General features: G+C 36.9%; 1 protein-coding gene across 20 annotated transcripts in view; it reads right to left on the bottom strand.

Moving 5' to 3' along the window:
* Positions 1-16,987, bottom strand: part of CNTLN (centlein) — a 393,595-nt gene that overhangs the window by 110,520 nt on the left and 266,088 nt on the right. For 14 of the 20 annotated variants that reach the window (XR_007061321.1, XR_929282.3, XM_017014839.2 and 11 more), the window contains 3 exons: positions 8,642-8,822; positions 2,234-2,327; positions 1,926-2,149 (listed from right to left, as the gene is read on the bottom strand). Coding sequence is in view for 17 of the 20 variants with exons in the window: in XM_017014839.2 (XP_016870328.1) it covers positions 1,926-2,149; positions 2,234-2,327; positions 8,642-8,822 (499 nt within the window). In the remaining 3 variants the exon portion in view is untranslated. The remainder of the gene's footprint in view (positions 1-1,925; positions 2,150-2,233; positions 2,328-8,641; positions 8,823-16,987) is intronic. The other 6 variants (XR_007061322.1, NM_001365029.1, XM_047423520.1 and 3 more) reach the window with 1 other exon arrangement.

The raw sequence follows: 16,987 nt of genomic DNA, 5'->3' as shown, positions 1-16,987 counted from the left end.
TTACATATAACAATGAAATATAAGTTATACCTATAACATAGTAGCAAAAGTAAGACATTTACCTTGGAATAGATGAGATTTGAAATAGCTAGAATTGAGGGTAACTTCAGGGAGAAATTCATATGAAAGTAATTCATTTGATCATCTATACTATACTCTCTCTAAAATGCAGATGAACCATGCAGTAACTGAGGTGCTTTTTATACCTCCTAATTTTATCTTTACAAGTAGTTGAAATCTGTGCTAAAATGTGGATTTCTTACTTGATACTACCAAGTATGGCACCTCAAAAATTAGAAGAAAGGACATTAAAATTGATTGCAAAAAAGGAAAAAAAAGTATGTCTAACACAGATTTTTAGTTGAATCCCTAGGGTACTATTTTTATTTTTCTCATAGTGTATGCAATTTAAGGAACTCCCAAGAAGTAACTATACCACTACTTTTCAAACTCTCAATGAAGAAAATCCTTTTCCAAGGAGAATGAGGAAAATAATTTTTGTAACAACTCTAATCTTTTATAATTTTCCTCTGACAATATCAGAATTTACTCTTATGAAAAGCCAGTGGTCTAGTAAATTATTTAAGAGAACACCAAAAAGTTCAAATGTTTTTTGTATAATAAGATTGAACAATTAAAGTTGAGAATTTTTTCTTTCTTTTAAAAAATGTTCTTTCATGTCACTTTGCTATTTGCACAAAAAAAACCTAGGAATACAGATAGTTTATAATATCACGGTGAGATATAAAACAATGTCATTTAACTAGAGAAGAAAGAAAGGAAGCGTAGGAGAAAAGAAAAGGAAAGGGAAGAAAGAGAGGATATTAAAGAGAAGAAAAGAAAATTCTAGCCAGTAAAATGTATATGGGATGAAATCATTTTGGGAAATGTGGTTCCTATACAGTGGTTGTGGTATCAGTGGCTGTGTCTAAATTCTAACATAGAGCTCAGTCTTATCTGGTATCCCACTGCCACATTTCCAATGGCCAAGCCTGTAAAATCCAGAAACTTCTGGTGTAAGTTGGAATGCAGTTAAGGTTTGGGTATAAGGCTACTCTGGGAATAAAGTCAGAACACAATTCTTAAATGGCATAACACTAATCCTTCACCATTAAAGTGTTTATATGTATTGTTTGAATCAAAGCACTAGATACTAGAATTAGAGAATTTAAGTGTAACTTAAAATTATGTGAGACAGTGATTGAAAGATTGTTTTCTAATATAATGAAATAAATTTTTCTGTGCAAAATAATTTTCTAACAAATCATTCATTACACAAGCAAATAGCGTAAAGAATGAAGACCTAAAGAACAAAAAATCTTTTCTTTTTCATTTGCTTTAAGTTCATCTCAAAGTGTAAGTTAAACTTGTGCTTTAAGATTACCTTACCAGGAGTAAGGTATAATGTTGACTATTTGCCTGAGTAAAAAGAACCACAGATAGATTACTGGAATACATTAAAATAGATACTTACATTAAAATCTTCACATTTTATACTAGCATTTGCAAAGAGTAACTGATGAATATATTAGTTTAATAATGTAACTTATCATAAACACAAAGTTTCAAACATAGGCAAACGGGTAAGCTATGTGTATGTATGAAGCCTGCTTTTAAACACTAAGATGTAACACAATACAGAATATGTAAAAATATTTCAAAGATGAGAAAAACTAAGAGGAACAGGAACGCTAGTAAAGTGTCTTTTAGATTCAGAGTTCCTTCCCTCATGTATGTTATCCTTTAATATGGGCCTTATTAAAGAAGTCCAGTAATTAAACTAATTACACTAGTAAACAGTGCCTGGGATTTTTTAAAACTCATAGACCTGCCTAACACAAATATAAACTAAATAATACATGTAAAACAAAATATCCACTTTTACAATATAGTATACTACTGTTCAATCTTAAAGTTCTCTTTACCTTTATTGTCTGCCTGCTTGTCTGAAATCGTTGATCGGATACTTGCTGTTGATGGAGGAGCTTTTCATTAACTTCTTTATATTCTTTAACAGACAATTCTGCTGTTTTCTTGGCATTCTGAAGTACACTGTTTTGTTGTTGCAAGGATATAATCCGTTCTCGTAATAAAATAATATTGCTACTTGATTTCTGGGCAGTTATATTTTTGTACTTTTCTCTGTTGACTACATAAAAACAATATTGTTCATATTTTAAAAATTAGATTTAAATTGTAAAAGACATATTGTTAATTGCATATACATTCTTACCTCTAGTAGGAACTGCTGTATGTGAACTCTTTTGCATCTTGCAATTCTTCTTTTGAAAAGTTGGTTTTTTGGCATTCTTATCATGAAAATAGTCCTAAATTTGAAGATTTCATAAAAATGGTATTATTCTTCAATAACAACATCAAGTGAACTGATATAAATAACATCTCTTTACTTAAAAAATACAATTGTTTATGCAGAATTTTTTTTAAGTCTGTGGGAGACCAAGGCAGGAGGACTGCTTGAGGCCAGGAGTTTGAGACCAGCCTGGGCAACAGAGCAAGACTGCCTCTTACAAAAAAAATTGAAAAAAATATTTTTTAAACTCTAGATGATAAAATTCTATAACTGATACCAAGAACTTACAAATGAACTTATTGTATACACTGAACTTAAACCAGCAGGCAGAAGATACAGATACAAAATCAACTCCAAAGAAGTAGAAATTTAATCTAGGGATAGCTTAAAAACTTAGGAGTAAATATGGTAACCGTAACAAAAGTAAAATGTGAATAATTAATAACTTATTCTCTGAAAATATAGGCCCTTTTCTCAAATACTCTATTATATGCTGACAAATGAAGCTAATAGCCTTCTGACAAATAAAGCTAAAAATAATGCTGACAATAATAAAATAACTTCCTGAAGCTGTATGTTTTCCTCATGGCATTCTAATACACTGAGGCTGAATAAAAGGAAGCCTTGTTGACTTTTGGTTTCAAAACGTTTCACCAATTTAAAATTGTATATATTAGTAGTAAAACATGTGGTCTTAAGATTTTTTTTTTTTTCTTTTGAGACAGAGTTTGGCTTTGTCACTCAGGCTGGAGTACAGTGGCACAATCTCAGTTCACCGCAACCTCCGCCTCCCAGGTTCAAGCAATTCTCATGCCTCAGCCTCCCAAGTACCTGGGACTACAGGGACCACCACCCCCAGCTAATTTTTGAATTTTTGGTAGAGATGGGGTTTCACCATACTGTCTAGGCTGGTTTCAAACTCCTGGTATCCAGTGAGCCACTCGCCTCGGCCTCCAAAAGTGTTGGGATTATGGGCGTGAGCCACAGTGCCTAGCCTTGTTTAAGAATGTATTGGCTGGGAAACATAGATATATGCAATCTAGAAAATTATTTCTTATTTTAAAAAGAACTTTTTAAAAGATCCCAATCCAGCAACAAATTGCCTGAAAGTCATGAAACTGATTAACACATGGAACAGAAGCCTATATCTAAAATAAGGTTTTCCTTTCAAATGATTAGTTTCAGAAATATAAAACCCTAACAATGTTTCATTTCTCAAAATATTTTTGAAATGCTTCATTTAAGCTTATCTTCAGAACTGGCATATAAATTTTTAATTGCTTTATTAAGATTTAATTAGTATTTAAGTATCAGCCACGCACTGAGCACTGTTAAAAAAAAAATCCAAACTACAGCTACCAATTGAAGTACTAATATCAGTCACCAGATTTGGTATCAAATTAACAGTAGCTAAAATTAAATTACAAAGAAGTGGGCTTCTGTTTCCAGTACTATTACTGAATACAAACTCAAGAAAACTCTCATGCTATGAAACAAACACACTTAAAGTGTATTTCTAACATGGCAAAAAATACAAGGGAAATGTCAGAGGTCAAAAATGAAGTGAAAGCAGAAATTCAGAGACCATACAAAAGTGACCAACAAAGTGGCCAGCAAAATGTAGAACTGACAATCCCTTGTGACCTTGAAATTCCACTTAAATAGCAACACAGAATGCAGAAGGCAAGAAAGAAAGCCTAGTTCACAATCCAAGATGAGAAATTTCAGGTCAGAAAGCTAGGACATTGTATACGTCAATAGTTAGCTCCTTTTTATTGCTGAGAAGTTTCCTGTGTTACAGATGTACCACAGTTTGTTTAGCTGTTCAGCTATTGAAGAGAATTTTGGTTGTTCCCAGTTTTCAGCTATTACAAACAAAGGTTCTATGATCATTCATGTACAAGTTTTTTTGGTAAACATATATTTTCATGTCTGTGGGATGTGTCTAAGGGTGTGATAGCTGGGTTGTATGGTAAGTTTAGTTTTTAAGAAACTGACAAACTTTTTCAGAGTGCTGTAATATAGAATTTTATATTCACATGAACAATATATGAGAGATCCAGTTTCCCTGTCCCTTGGTCAGCACTTGGTATTTTCACTAATTTTTACTTTAGCTGTTTCCTAATAGTGAAGTTGAAAATCTTTATATGTGCTTATTTGCCATCCGTATATCCTTTTTTGGTAAAATGTTTGCTCATATCTTCTGCCTATTTTGTAACTGGATTGTTTAATTTCTTCCTGTTAAGTTTTGAGTGTTCTTTACATATTCAAGCTATGAGACTTTTGTCAGACACATGGTTTTTAAATATTCCTCTCACTCTGTGGCTTGTCTTTTCCTCTTCTATATAGTGTCTTTTGAGGAGCAAAAGTTCTTAATTTTAATGAAGTCTAATTTACTGTTGTTTTCTTTTATGGATCATGCTTTTGGTATCATGTCTAAAAACTCTTCACTCAGCTCTAAGACTTCAAGATTTTCTCTTATATTTCTTTCTGAAAGTTTTATGATTTAATATTCTACATTTATATGTGAGCCACCTCAAATTAATTTTTGTATAAAGTGTAAAGTCTAGGTATAGGTTCCTATATTTTTTGCGTAGAAATATCCAATTGCTCCAGCACCATTTTTTGAAAGGATTATCCTTCCTTTGCACCTTGGTCAAAAATCAGTTGTTCATACTTATGTGGATCCATTTCTAGATTCTCTGTTCCATTATGTGAATAATAATGGCGGGTGTACGGTGCCATCAGTCTTGACATCTGAATCAATTTTGGGTGATAAGGATTAATGCCACCATCTGTGGGGCAAACATAGTTATTTAATTTTTCAGTTCTAAAATTTAGATCTGGGTACTTTTATATCTTCTATTTATTTGCTGAGACTTTCTAATTCTTTACTGAGATAGTCTATTGCTTTTGTTTTAGGTCTATTTTGTTTTGTTTTAGGCCTGTCCATAATTGCTTGTTGAAGCATTTTGATGGCAGCAACTTTAATATACGTGTCATATACAGATGCCTCCTGACATACAATGGGTATCCATTATTACGTCCTGATAAACTCATTAAGTTGAAAACATCATAAATCAAAAATGCATTTAATACATCTGACCTACCAAACATCATAGCTTAGCCTAGCCTACTCAGAACACTTACATTAGCCTACAGCTGGGCAAAATCATCTAACACAAAGCTTATTTTATAATAAAGTATTAAATATGTCATGTAATTTATTTATTGAATACTGCCCTGAAAGTGATTAAAAAAACCATTGTATGGGTACTCAAAGTACAGTTTCTACTAAACATGTATCAATTTCACACCAACATAAAGTAGAAAAATTTTAACTCAAACCATTGTAGTGAGTTGGGGACTGTCTGTAACTCCAACATCTGTCATCTTGCTTTTTGCTTCTGTTGATATAGTTGAGGTTTTCCTGGATCTTGGTATGAGGTGTGATTTTCAATTGTATCCTGGACATTTTGGCTATTATATTTCAAGTATTAGAACTTCAAGGTTCTGTATCTTACTTGAATCTCATTTGAATGGGACTCATCTGACACCACACTGATGGGGCAAGGAGCACACCATCTAATTACTGCCAGTTGGAAGTGGAAATCCAGTCTTAGTTGACAACCTGGTTGGAGAGGGCCACCTTATTACTGCTTGGGGAGGGCAGAACTTCAGGCTACCCAATAGGCATCTGCTGATACCATCATGGCTGGATAATGGAGGGGGACTTAGTTAATGTTCCCCACTGGGCTTCCATTGACATCATGGGGAGGGGGTGGGGGCTTGTTAGGTATAAGTAGTAATTAAATTCCCCATCTCTGCACTTGGCCTCTGAAATTATCTTGCTCAGAAGGGAAAGGCATTTCAATGCTGAATGGAGGTGGATATCCAGGTTCCCTATGTGATCTCCAATGACATGGAAAGGAGGGAGTCACCGGTTCTTAACCTTTTTGGCACCAAAAACCAGTTTTGTGGAAGAAAATTTTTGCATGGATAGGGGGTGGAGTGGGTCGGGGAGGTGGAGATGGTTTCGGGATGAAACTGTTCTACCTCAGATCATCAGGCATTAGATTCTCATAAGGAGCAGCAACCTAGATCCCTTGCATGTGCAGTTCACAGCGGGGTTCATGCTTATGTGAGAGTCTAATGCCTCCGCTGGTCTAACGGGAGGCAGAGCTCAGGCCGTAACAATGGCTCACCCACCTCTCACCTTCTGCTGTGTAAGCCAGTTCCTAGCAGGCCACAACAGGTGCCAGTCTGCAGCCCAGGGGTTAGGGATCCCAGGAGGAGGTCATTATCACTAGCTCCACACTTGGTCCTCTCTGGCATCACCCTGATAGGAGGAGGAGAGGTGAAGAGTGCCTACTTATTGCCAGGTAAGAGTGAAAGTCTAGGTTCCCATTAGGCCTTTACAGATGGGGCTGGAAACAGGGTTGCAATTTTTCTCTGGTGTTTGCCTGGAGTAGGACACTTACTGTGTAAGCTTTTCTGTCTTGCTAGGCTGGCCTTTTCCAGGTCCTTTGGCTAAAAGAAGGGTTTTATCCAGGGCATGTATTGTCTGACCTACTGAGGTTTCTAGGTTGGGGATTTCAGGTATCCAGGCCAGGATACATGAAGCAAAATGAAAACCCAAAGAACTCACCACCATGTTGTTCCTTGAGTGCTGAGGTACCTAGCTGGTCTGCTGCCTTCTCTCTACCTTTCAGCGTCTTCTTCTTGTTTTATATTAATTTAGGTTAATAGAGTCACTATCAAAATCCCAAAAAAAGTTTTTGTAGAACTTAAGCTGATTTTAAATTCATTTTGAAGAGTAAAGGACCAAGAAGAGACTCTTGATGAACAAGAAGGTGGGAAACTTGTTCAACATGCAATCAAGACTACTAAAATGTAACTAAGACAGCATGATACTGATACATTTACTGAAGGAACAGAAGAAAAAGCCTAGAGAAATATCCCTATGTTTACGTACATTGGATTTACAATAAAGGTGGCACCTTTGAATAAAGTAAGGAAAAAGTTAATGACAAATATTGGGGAAAAATTGGTAAACTTAATCCCTATCTCACATCACATGAAAAAATCAATGCTAGACATTGATGTGAAAATCAAAACAGAAAAATATAGGAAATCAGAAAAATATAGGAAAAGACAACATGGAAGGTAGCATAGGATATATCTACATTGCAGTAAGCAATGCATTATACAGGACACAAAATGTGCTATTCATAAACAAAAAATTGGTAAGTTTGGCCACATTAGAATTGAGATGTTATATTCTTCAGAAGACTCCAGTGAGAAAAGAAAAAAGGCACACCATGGAGTAGGAAAAGATATCTACAATACATAACCCACAAAAGGCTCATATATAGCATATATAAAAATGTCTAAGCCAGTAAGAAAAATACAGACAACTCATTTGGAAAATGGGCAGAGACTTGAAGAGGCAATTTACTAAAAAATTCCAAATGCCCAATAACCATGAGAAAGTACTCAACATTGTATTAGTAATCACAGAAACTTAACTCACAATGATATACCTCAACATACATGAAAAAGTAGCTGAAATGAGAAAGATTAACCTATCAAGTATCAATGAAGAGCAGCAAAAATTTCTATAAAATCTATTTATCAATCAATCAGCAGTCATTTAGCATATATTCTTGGTCTGAACTTTATTCTGGTAGTAACTAAAGAAGACCTTTCCTCCAAAGTGCTGGCAAGAGCTCAAAAAATAAATGTTTTTGAATTATGTTTTAAAAGAATCTTATAGGTTAATTCAAAGACAACCTAATTTTTACAACAAAATAGAAATGAACTTTCCTTAATTTTTCACTGATTTATGTTAAATAGGTAAACATTTGGTGCCATGATGTATCAGCAGTAGGAATTACTGAATAAGTTGTATTAGAACTTCAATTTTTCAAAATGTAAAATACATTGAGAGGCTAGTTAGAAATAAGTAATTTAGAGATTTAGTCAGACTAAATGACTTTATCATTGCAAAGACTAATATACAAAAAGAAGTTTCATCATTTGGAATATTTCATATACCTGAAAACAATAATGAGCTTATTAACCACTTTTTTGCTGAGATATAAATACCTTAAGATTTATAAGAATAGTATTTATTTTCGTCTATGAAAAAGACTGTAACAAACAAGTACTTGAAAATTATTTAAAAGTGAATATTTTCACTGTATATTTTAAAGACTTAACTTGTAAGAATTCAAATTAAATCAGTAGTAACATTTATTTACTTAAGTTATAAAGCATAAGATAAAATTTAAAACATAGCATACAATTAAGCAAAATCATGTCATTTACCTTTGGGGTCTTGCCATCTATATTTAAATATGTCTGTACTATTTCTTTTCCTTGTGTTTGGCTGTCTTCTGTTGGATCACTTTCTTTCTGGTCTTTTCCATCTTCCGTAGGACTTATTTTCTGGGATGTTTCTACAATAATTGTTCCCAAAGTTTGAGAGGTCTGTGCTTCAGAATCACTGCTTTTTAGAAAAAAGTAGGGACATAAAATCCAAGAATAAAAGTTGTTACATGTACTTGTCTTAAGTTCAAGACCAAATAATATTTTAGCATAGATTGTATATAAAACTGCAAGTTTAACGTGGGCATTTACTGGTTCTCAATGTGAAAGGGAAAATGAATCTAAATATATTGTACAAAATTATAGAATCCCATCAAGAAAACAGATTATCTAATTTCAAATCCCTACTAACATCATTTCGATAGTACTTCAACCAAGTGTTAACTCAGGAAGCAATTGTTGTAACACTTCCAGGGTTGGAGCATGCACTACTTTCCCAACAAGGCCAGAAAAGTTTAATATTTCTAACAAAGTTTTTCCTTCACCTGAAACAAAATTTGAATCTCTGAAGCTTTCACCCACTGATTCTAGTTCCATCCCTTATGGCTATTTATCACTGAATAAAATACTTCTTAAGCACCAACTATGGGCCCAGGCACTTTTTTTTTTTTTTAAGACAGAGTCTCGCTCTGTCACCCAGGCTGGAGTGCAGTGGCGCGATCTTGGCTCATGGCAACCTCCGCCTCCCAGGTTCATGCCATTCTCCTGACTCAGCATCCCAAGTAGCTGGGACTACAGGCGCCCATCACCACGCCTGACTAATTTTTTGTATTTTTAGTAGAGATAGGGTTTCACTGTGTTAGCCAGGATGGTCTCGATCTCCTGACCTCGTGATCTGCCCGTCTCAGCCTCCCAAAGTGCTGGGATTACAGGCATGAGCCACTGCACCCAGCCGGGCCCAGGGACTTTTGTGGGCATGAAGGCTAAGGCAGTAGTGAACAAAGTAGAAAAAAAATCCCTTCCCTCATGTAACCTTTATCCTGGTCAGGGTAGAGGGACAGGAAACAAGAATACTTAGTAAAATACATACTATGTCAATAGTGATGTGTTAAAGAGAAAAAAAATAAAAATAAACAAGGGTAGGAGACAGGAAGTGTTGAGGTTGTGTGGAACATTTAAGTAAGTCCCTTTCCCACATGGATGAGCTTTTAACTATTTAGACATCATTATATGCTGCTTGAGACACCATGAAGAATAACATCCCTAGCTTGTTCAAATGTTCCTAACGTATATACTTTTGAGATGCCTTATCTCCTTGGTCTTTTTTTTTTTTTTTTTTTTTTTTGAGACAGAGTCTCACTCTGTTGTACCCAGGCTGGAGTGTAGTGGCACGATCTCGGCTCACTGCAACCTCCACCTCCAGGGTTCAAGCGATTCTCCTGCCTCAGCCTCCCGAGTAGCTGGGATTACAGGTGCCCACCACGATGCCTGGCTAATTTTTTGTATTTTTAGGAGAGATGGGGTTTCACCATGTTGGTCAGGCTGGTCTCGAACTCCTGACCTCAGGTAATCCACCTACCTCAGCCTCCCAAAGTGCTGGGATTACAGGCGTGAGCCACCACGCCCAGCCTCCCTGGTCAGTCTTGAATGTGTTTCAGCTTATCATGATGGAGCATCATGTCCAGAATTCAGTTTCATCTTCCTGGGACACTATGAGAGGTACTGAGTAAAACTCTTGGTAGATGCAGACTAAAAGTGTGTAAGCTTCTCTGGCGTATACATCATACTATAGACTCAAGTAAGATTTAACAAAACCACCTAAAGTATTTCAAATAAGATTTAACAAAACCACCCAGACAACTATTAAAGCCACATATTTCTCCCATTGTACAGTGCAACTGGTATTTTATAGCCAAATAAACTACCCTGTAGGCATTTGTGTAACTATATTCCCAGTCTACTGAGATCTTTGGGGATCTTGATTCTATTGTGTGACGTATTTTACATCCCTCTCAACGTCATGTTAATCACAATTTGATAAACATGCTTTGATGGAATTCAGATGTTCTGTATTTAGTGTAATTCTATTTTAAAAGGTTACTGGTTAGTCTGATAAGAATTTCCCTTGAAGAACTCATACTGGCTTTGAGAAATCACTACTTCTTTTAAGAAACATTCACAAAGTATTCTTTTATAATGTCCCAGAACCTTACTTAGGATTTATTTCAAAAACACCAACTATAGAATTACCCATCTTTGTGTTTTTAATGTCACAACTACACTTTTCTGTTTCCCATATTCTCATATCATTTGGGTTCTCCTTCAAAATACCAACAGCAATTGATCAAATCTACAAGTTATTTCAGTATCCCAGAATTCATTATTTCTGAATCAGAATACTATAATCTATTTGCTTATGTGTTCTACTATAATTGTTTACCTCTTTTTATGTTCTATTCCTCTTTTTTGTTTGGCCAAAACTTAGCAGAAATTCAATATGTAATGGCCAAAGTGGTATGAAAAGTGTCATAAAAAGCAGCATATTTCACAATAAGACACTCTCAAAACAAACTGTTTAGATTTGATTGGAGAGCCCTTGGTGGGGGGTGGGCAGGGGCAGAAGGAGGGAGACGTGTCTTAGTGATGGGGCAGAGTGCTTCCTTCTCTTTATAATTCTTTATTCATTCATTATTCAAAAAACATTTATTGAATGGCTACTATGCCCTATGCATGTGAAAGAATTGATGAACAAATTCTTTACAGTCTATCCATGAATAAATTTAGTCTATCCACGAAGAAAACAATAAGCACAATAAATCTGAAATATGATATAGTATGTTATAAATTATTAAGGACCACTGGGGAAAAAATGAGCAAGATAAGAGGAAGGAATCCAAATTATGGGAGGTAAAATGGTGGCAGGCTGAAATCTGAAATAGATTGATCATTAGTAATACTGAAGCAAAACTTAGAGGAGAGGGAGTTGGTTGTTTTAGATATCTGGCTAAATACATTCCAGGCAGAAGACATCAAACTAAAATCCCTAAGTTAAAAGTTCCTGCTTTCAGCGAGCAACAGTCAGTCCAGTGTAGGTAGAACACAGTAAATATGGACTAAAAACAAGGCTGAAAGCAGGGAGGGTGGTTAGGAAAGTTCTTTTCATATTCCAGGCAACTGATGATAGATATAAGAGTGATGACAAACAAAATTGATAAGAAATGGTCAACTTCTGGATATTTTTCTAAAGAAATCCACCAAGATTTCCTGACAGAGTAGATGTAATGACTGACAGAAAGACTGGAATCAAAGATGGTATCAAGCTTTTGGTCAGTGCAACTGTAAAGATAGAATTATCATTAGTGAGAAAGAGGAAGACAGCAGCTGAAATAGGCTTGGTGGGGTAAAGCCCAGGAATTTGTATTAGGCTATTTGATATCCAAGTATGATGCTAAGTTGACAGTCAACTTTACATGTCTAAAATTCAGAGCCTGACCAACATGGAGAAACCCCATCTCTACTAAAAATACAAAATTAGCTGGGTGTGGTGGCACATGCCTGTAATCCCAGCTACTCTGGAGAATCGCTTGAACCCAGGGGACAGAGGATGCAGTGAGCTGAGATCACGCCACTGCACTCCAGCCAGGGCAACAGGAGCAAAACTCCATCTAAAAAAATAAAAATAATAATAATAAAATAAAATTCAGAAGTGAGGTATAGAATGGATACATACATTTTGGGGTGGCTGGAATATAGGTGGTAACAATGATGTTAATAAATACTATGAGATCACAAAACAATGAGTGCAGCTTTTAATGTGTCCTCCAAAGTTCACATCTTGGAAACACAATCCTCAGTGCAACAGTGTTGGGAGGTGGAATCTAATAAGAGGTGATTAGATCATGAGTCCTCATGAACGATTTAATGTTATCATGGGAGTGAGTTTGTTATAAGAACAGGCTTGTTATAAAAGCAAATTTGGCCCCCTCTTGCTCTATCAGGCTCCTTGCCGTTCCACCTTCGGCCATGATGACACAGCCAGAAGACCCTCATCAAATGTGGCGCTCTCAACCTGGGACTTCCCAGCTTCCGGAACTGTAAGAAATAAATTTCCTTTCATTATAAGTTATCCAGTCTGTGGTATTTTTTTGTGTGTGTTGTTATAGCAACACAAAATGTCCACTGACTGAAGACAATGTCCAATGACTGAAGCTCTTAAAAATTGAGAGACTGAGGGGGAATGTCACAAAACTAACAAATGACACTGAAGTTAAATATCAGTGAGAAGAAGAAAATAAAGAGTATGGTATGGCAAACTATAATAACAAGAGGTAGAAATCAACTGTGTCAAATGCTGCTGAGAGGTCAAGTAAGGTGAGGACTGAGAATCAACCTTTGAATTTGGCAAAGTGGTAGTGACCCTCAAAATAATTGTTTTAGGCTGGGCGCGGTGGCTCACATCTGTAATCCCAGCACTTTGGGAGGCCGAGGTGGGCAGACTGCCTGACGTCAGGAGTTCAAGACCAGCCTGGCTAACATGGTGAAACCCCATTTCTACTAAAAATACAAGAATTAGCCTGGGGTGGTGGCGTACACCTGTAGTCCCAGCTACTCAGGAGGCTGAGGCAGGAGAATCGTTTGCGCCCAGGAGGTGGAGCCTGCAGTGAGCCAAGATCGCGCCACTGTACTCCAGCCTGGCAGACAGAGCAAGACTCTGTCTCAAAAAAAAAAAAAAAAATTTGTTTCAGAAGGATGATGAAGGGATGAATGGAATTTGAAACAAGGATTGTACACAACTTTTTAAAATTTCACTGCCAAGGACAGCAAATACAGAGGACTACTAGGTAAAGGAGTACTAACAGGTGTATAATGAATTCTCTGGTTTCCAAACATGGTCCTCCTAATTTTACCTCAATAATTGGGATAATTGCTCTGGCTAATACCGTAGCTCCTTTTGACGCTTTTTAGCTCAGTATAGGGAATCCAAAATGGCCAGGGTACAATCTCAGCGTCTACCTCTACAGACCATAATTGTGTTCCCTCAAAGAACTTTCCTACCTTCGGCATCAGGACTCTCAAATCCCCTAGCCCAAGATCATACTAATGAGAAGCAAAAACTCCTCCAGTGGGTTACTTGGTTAAATAATTACAGCGGCCACGCCAACCTAAAATACTTTATTCCTGGACCTATGCATTCTTGGAGATAAAATAATAAACTCTCAGTTTAGGGCATATACCCTAACTTCAATATTGTCTTCTAGCTGGTGCCATAACGGAGCCTATTGATCATCTACTGTCGTATACAGCCAGTTGCCTTTGAATAATGAAAAATATAGTAATACCAGTGAATTTGAAGACACAGAGCATTGTCATATATCCCTTGCCATAAACTCTGTCTTTTAGCTGGGCTTGGTGGCTCATACCTGTAATTCCAGCACTTTGGGAGGCTGAGGCAGGTGAATCACCTGAGGTCAGGAGTTTATGACCAGTCTGGCCAAAATAGTGAAACCCCATCTCTATTAAAAATACAAAAATTAGCCGGGTGTTGTGGCACACATCTCTAGCCCCAGCTACTTGGGAGGCTGAAGCACGAGAATCGCTTGAACCCGCGAAGCAGAGGTTGCAGTGAGCCAGGATCACACCACTGCACTCCAGTCTGGGCAACAGAGCGAGACTCTGTCTCAAACTAAGAAGAAAATGTGTCTTTCAGTCTGCTTCTCTGGGAAAATGCTGACTAGGCCACCTCCCTACCTCCCAGTCCTACCTCCAAGGTTGAGATCAAGATTGAGCAAGTGCATCCAAGGAGGCAGTTTTCTGCAATATCATAGGGATATATAAGTCATTTTGTAAATCTAAGAATGGTAATATTGGTAAAAATATAATAGACAAAACCATACCTAAAATACTTAAAACTACTGTAAAAAAAAAAAATTGATGCCTCCTCCATGATGGAAGAGGCCTACTGTAATCAACCTGACACTAAGAGACTGGTTGGTTTCCTCTGGAGAATGAAGCTTTTTTTTGGGATTTGCAATTGGTCTTTTTTGTGAACAGGCTGAATATTCAACAGTGCCAGTAGCCCAGTCGCCAGACAAGTTTTGGTGAAAGAAAGTCAATTTTGTTCAAAAGCTTGCAAGGAAAAATTGGAAGATTAGTGGCAGGACACCTGTGCCATGTAGAAGCTATACCTGTTGCCATAGCCACTTTGTTCATGAACCCATTAAGCAAGCCCTCAGATAGCTGTGAAATAGGCAAGATCTATACAATGGGTCATTTTGTTCACAGAATGGGCTTTGTGTGTATCTCTTCCAAAAGGTCCATCCACGAACCTCCCCACAGACCTTCCTGCCACCAATCTTCCACCAACCTTCCCACAGACCTCCCTGTCACCAATCTTCCAACTTTTCCTTCCAAGTTTTTGATATACTGAAAAATGCCTCTTTTGACGCACTCCCTCAACATTGATCTCAATCTTCACTACTTTTTTTGGAGTGGGAGTGGGAAGTAGAGAGGTGGATTAGTCAGGGTTTTTCTGGAGAAATGGAACCAACAGGATGTATGCATGCACGTATATATCTTTAGGAATTGGTTCATGTGATTGTGAAGGCTAGGAAGTCCAAATCTACAGTATGGCCCAGTAGGCTAGAGACTCAGGAGAACTAATGGTGTAGCTTCAGTCCAATTGCCAGCAGGTGGAAACCCAGGAAAGTCAATTTTCTAGTTCTAGTGTGAAGTCTGGCAGGCTAGAGACCCAGGAGAGCTGATGGTGCAGATTAAATCTGAAGGCAATTTTCTGGAGAATTCCCTCTTGCTCACAGAGGCCATTCTTTATATTCTATTCAGGCCTTCAACAGACTAAATGAGGTTTATCTCCATGCTGGAGGACAATGTGCTTTATCCAAAGCTCACTGATTTAAATGTTAATCTCATCCAAAAACACATAACAAGTTGATACATAACCAACAGAGGGGGCTACTGTCCCTATAATTCAGTTTCTTTTCACAGTGTCATCCCCTCCATGTGGGACTTAGTTCAGTGAGGAAGTTCTGGTCTTTTGGTATAGATAGCTCATAGAAGAACTGTATTTTTCTTTTCTCCGGACACCAATTTTCTCTCTCTTGATACAGTGCAAGTCATACAGCTGTCGATGGCTGTCCCTACCTGTTCATATTTTGGGTTTGTCACTAATTCTATTGTAGATGCTATCCTTGAGATTTTGGCTATGCCTTCCTATTTGTTTTGTTTATTTTGATGGGGGATTTGTGGAAATAAAATATCTGCCACTGCTGCAGCCTCTTCCCAGTAGTACTAGCTTTTTGAATAGAGAACAGTTGTCAACAGAAATCGCATAGCCTTAGGTGTCTATATGTGGTTCTTGTCATGCTTGTCAGGCATTCCACATACCACCTCTGTCTGCTACAGACATATTCATAATCTTTGGTTCACTGAGTCATCTCCTCAAGCCATTAATATTTCCTGTCCATAGCACTGCCCATTTTCTATTGATGCGTCTTTTTATATAATTTGTAGATGATCTTTAAATCTTCTGGATATTAGTCCTTTACCTTCTTTATGTGTTGTAAATACCTTTTTCTGGTTAGTCATTTGACTTTTAACTCTTTTTATATATCTGTTACTATATAGATGTTTAAAGTTCTATTAACGCTTTTTCATATCTGGCTCTGTATTTTCATCTCTTGCTTAAGTATACTTCCTAGAGATGCTCCAAAGTTATAAACAAGTAATCTTGTAATTTCTTGTAATACTTTTAAAATTTTCATTGTTTCATTAAACCTCTAATCTAGGCCAAGCACAATGGCTTGCATCTGTAATCCAAATACTTTCTGAGGCCAAGGCAGGAGGATCACTTGAGACCAGAAGTTCAAAACCAGCCTAGGCAATGTAGCAAGATCTCATCTCTACAAAAAATTTGAAAAATTAGCCAGGCACGGTAGCACGTGCTGTAGTCTCAGCTCCTAAGGAGACTGAGGTAGAAGGTAGCTCGAGCTCAGGAAGTCGAGGATGCAGTGAGCCATGATTGTGCCACAGCACTCCAGCCTGGGAAACAGAGCTTGACTCCACGTCATTAAAAAAAAAAAATCTCTATATGGATTTTGCTTTAATGTACCGTACTATATTAGGTAGTCAGACAATGAATATTATTTAATGATTCAAGAAATGTATTTGTTCACTTATTCTTCACAGTCTGCTATGTATATATAGTCTGGTCATCCATCAAAAACTTAACAACATGAAAGGAACTCTACTACTTTATCCTAAGATACTGTGTCAAGAGACTAACTATATGCAAAGTTCTATGGAATCTAGATCTACAGTAACCTAGGAATA

Source organism: Homo sapiens, chromosome 9 (assembly GCF_000001405.40).
Source record: "Homo sapiens chromosome 9, GRCh38.p14 Primary Assembly".
Taxonomy (NCBI): domain Eukaryota; kingdom Metazoa; phylum Chordata; class Mammalia; order Primates; family Hominidae; genus Homo; species Homo sapiens.
This window is presented reverse-complemented; position numbering and strand designations above follow the sequence as displayed.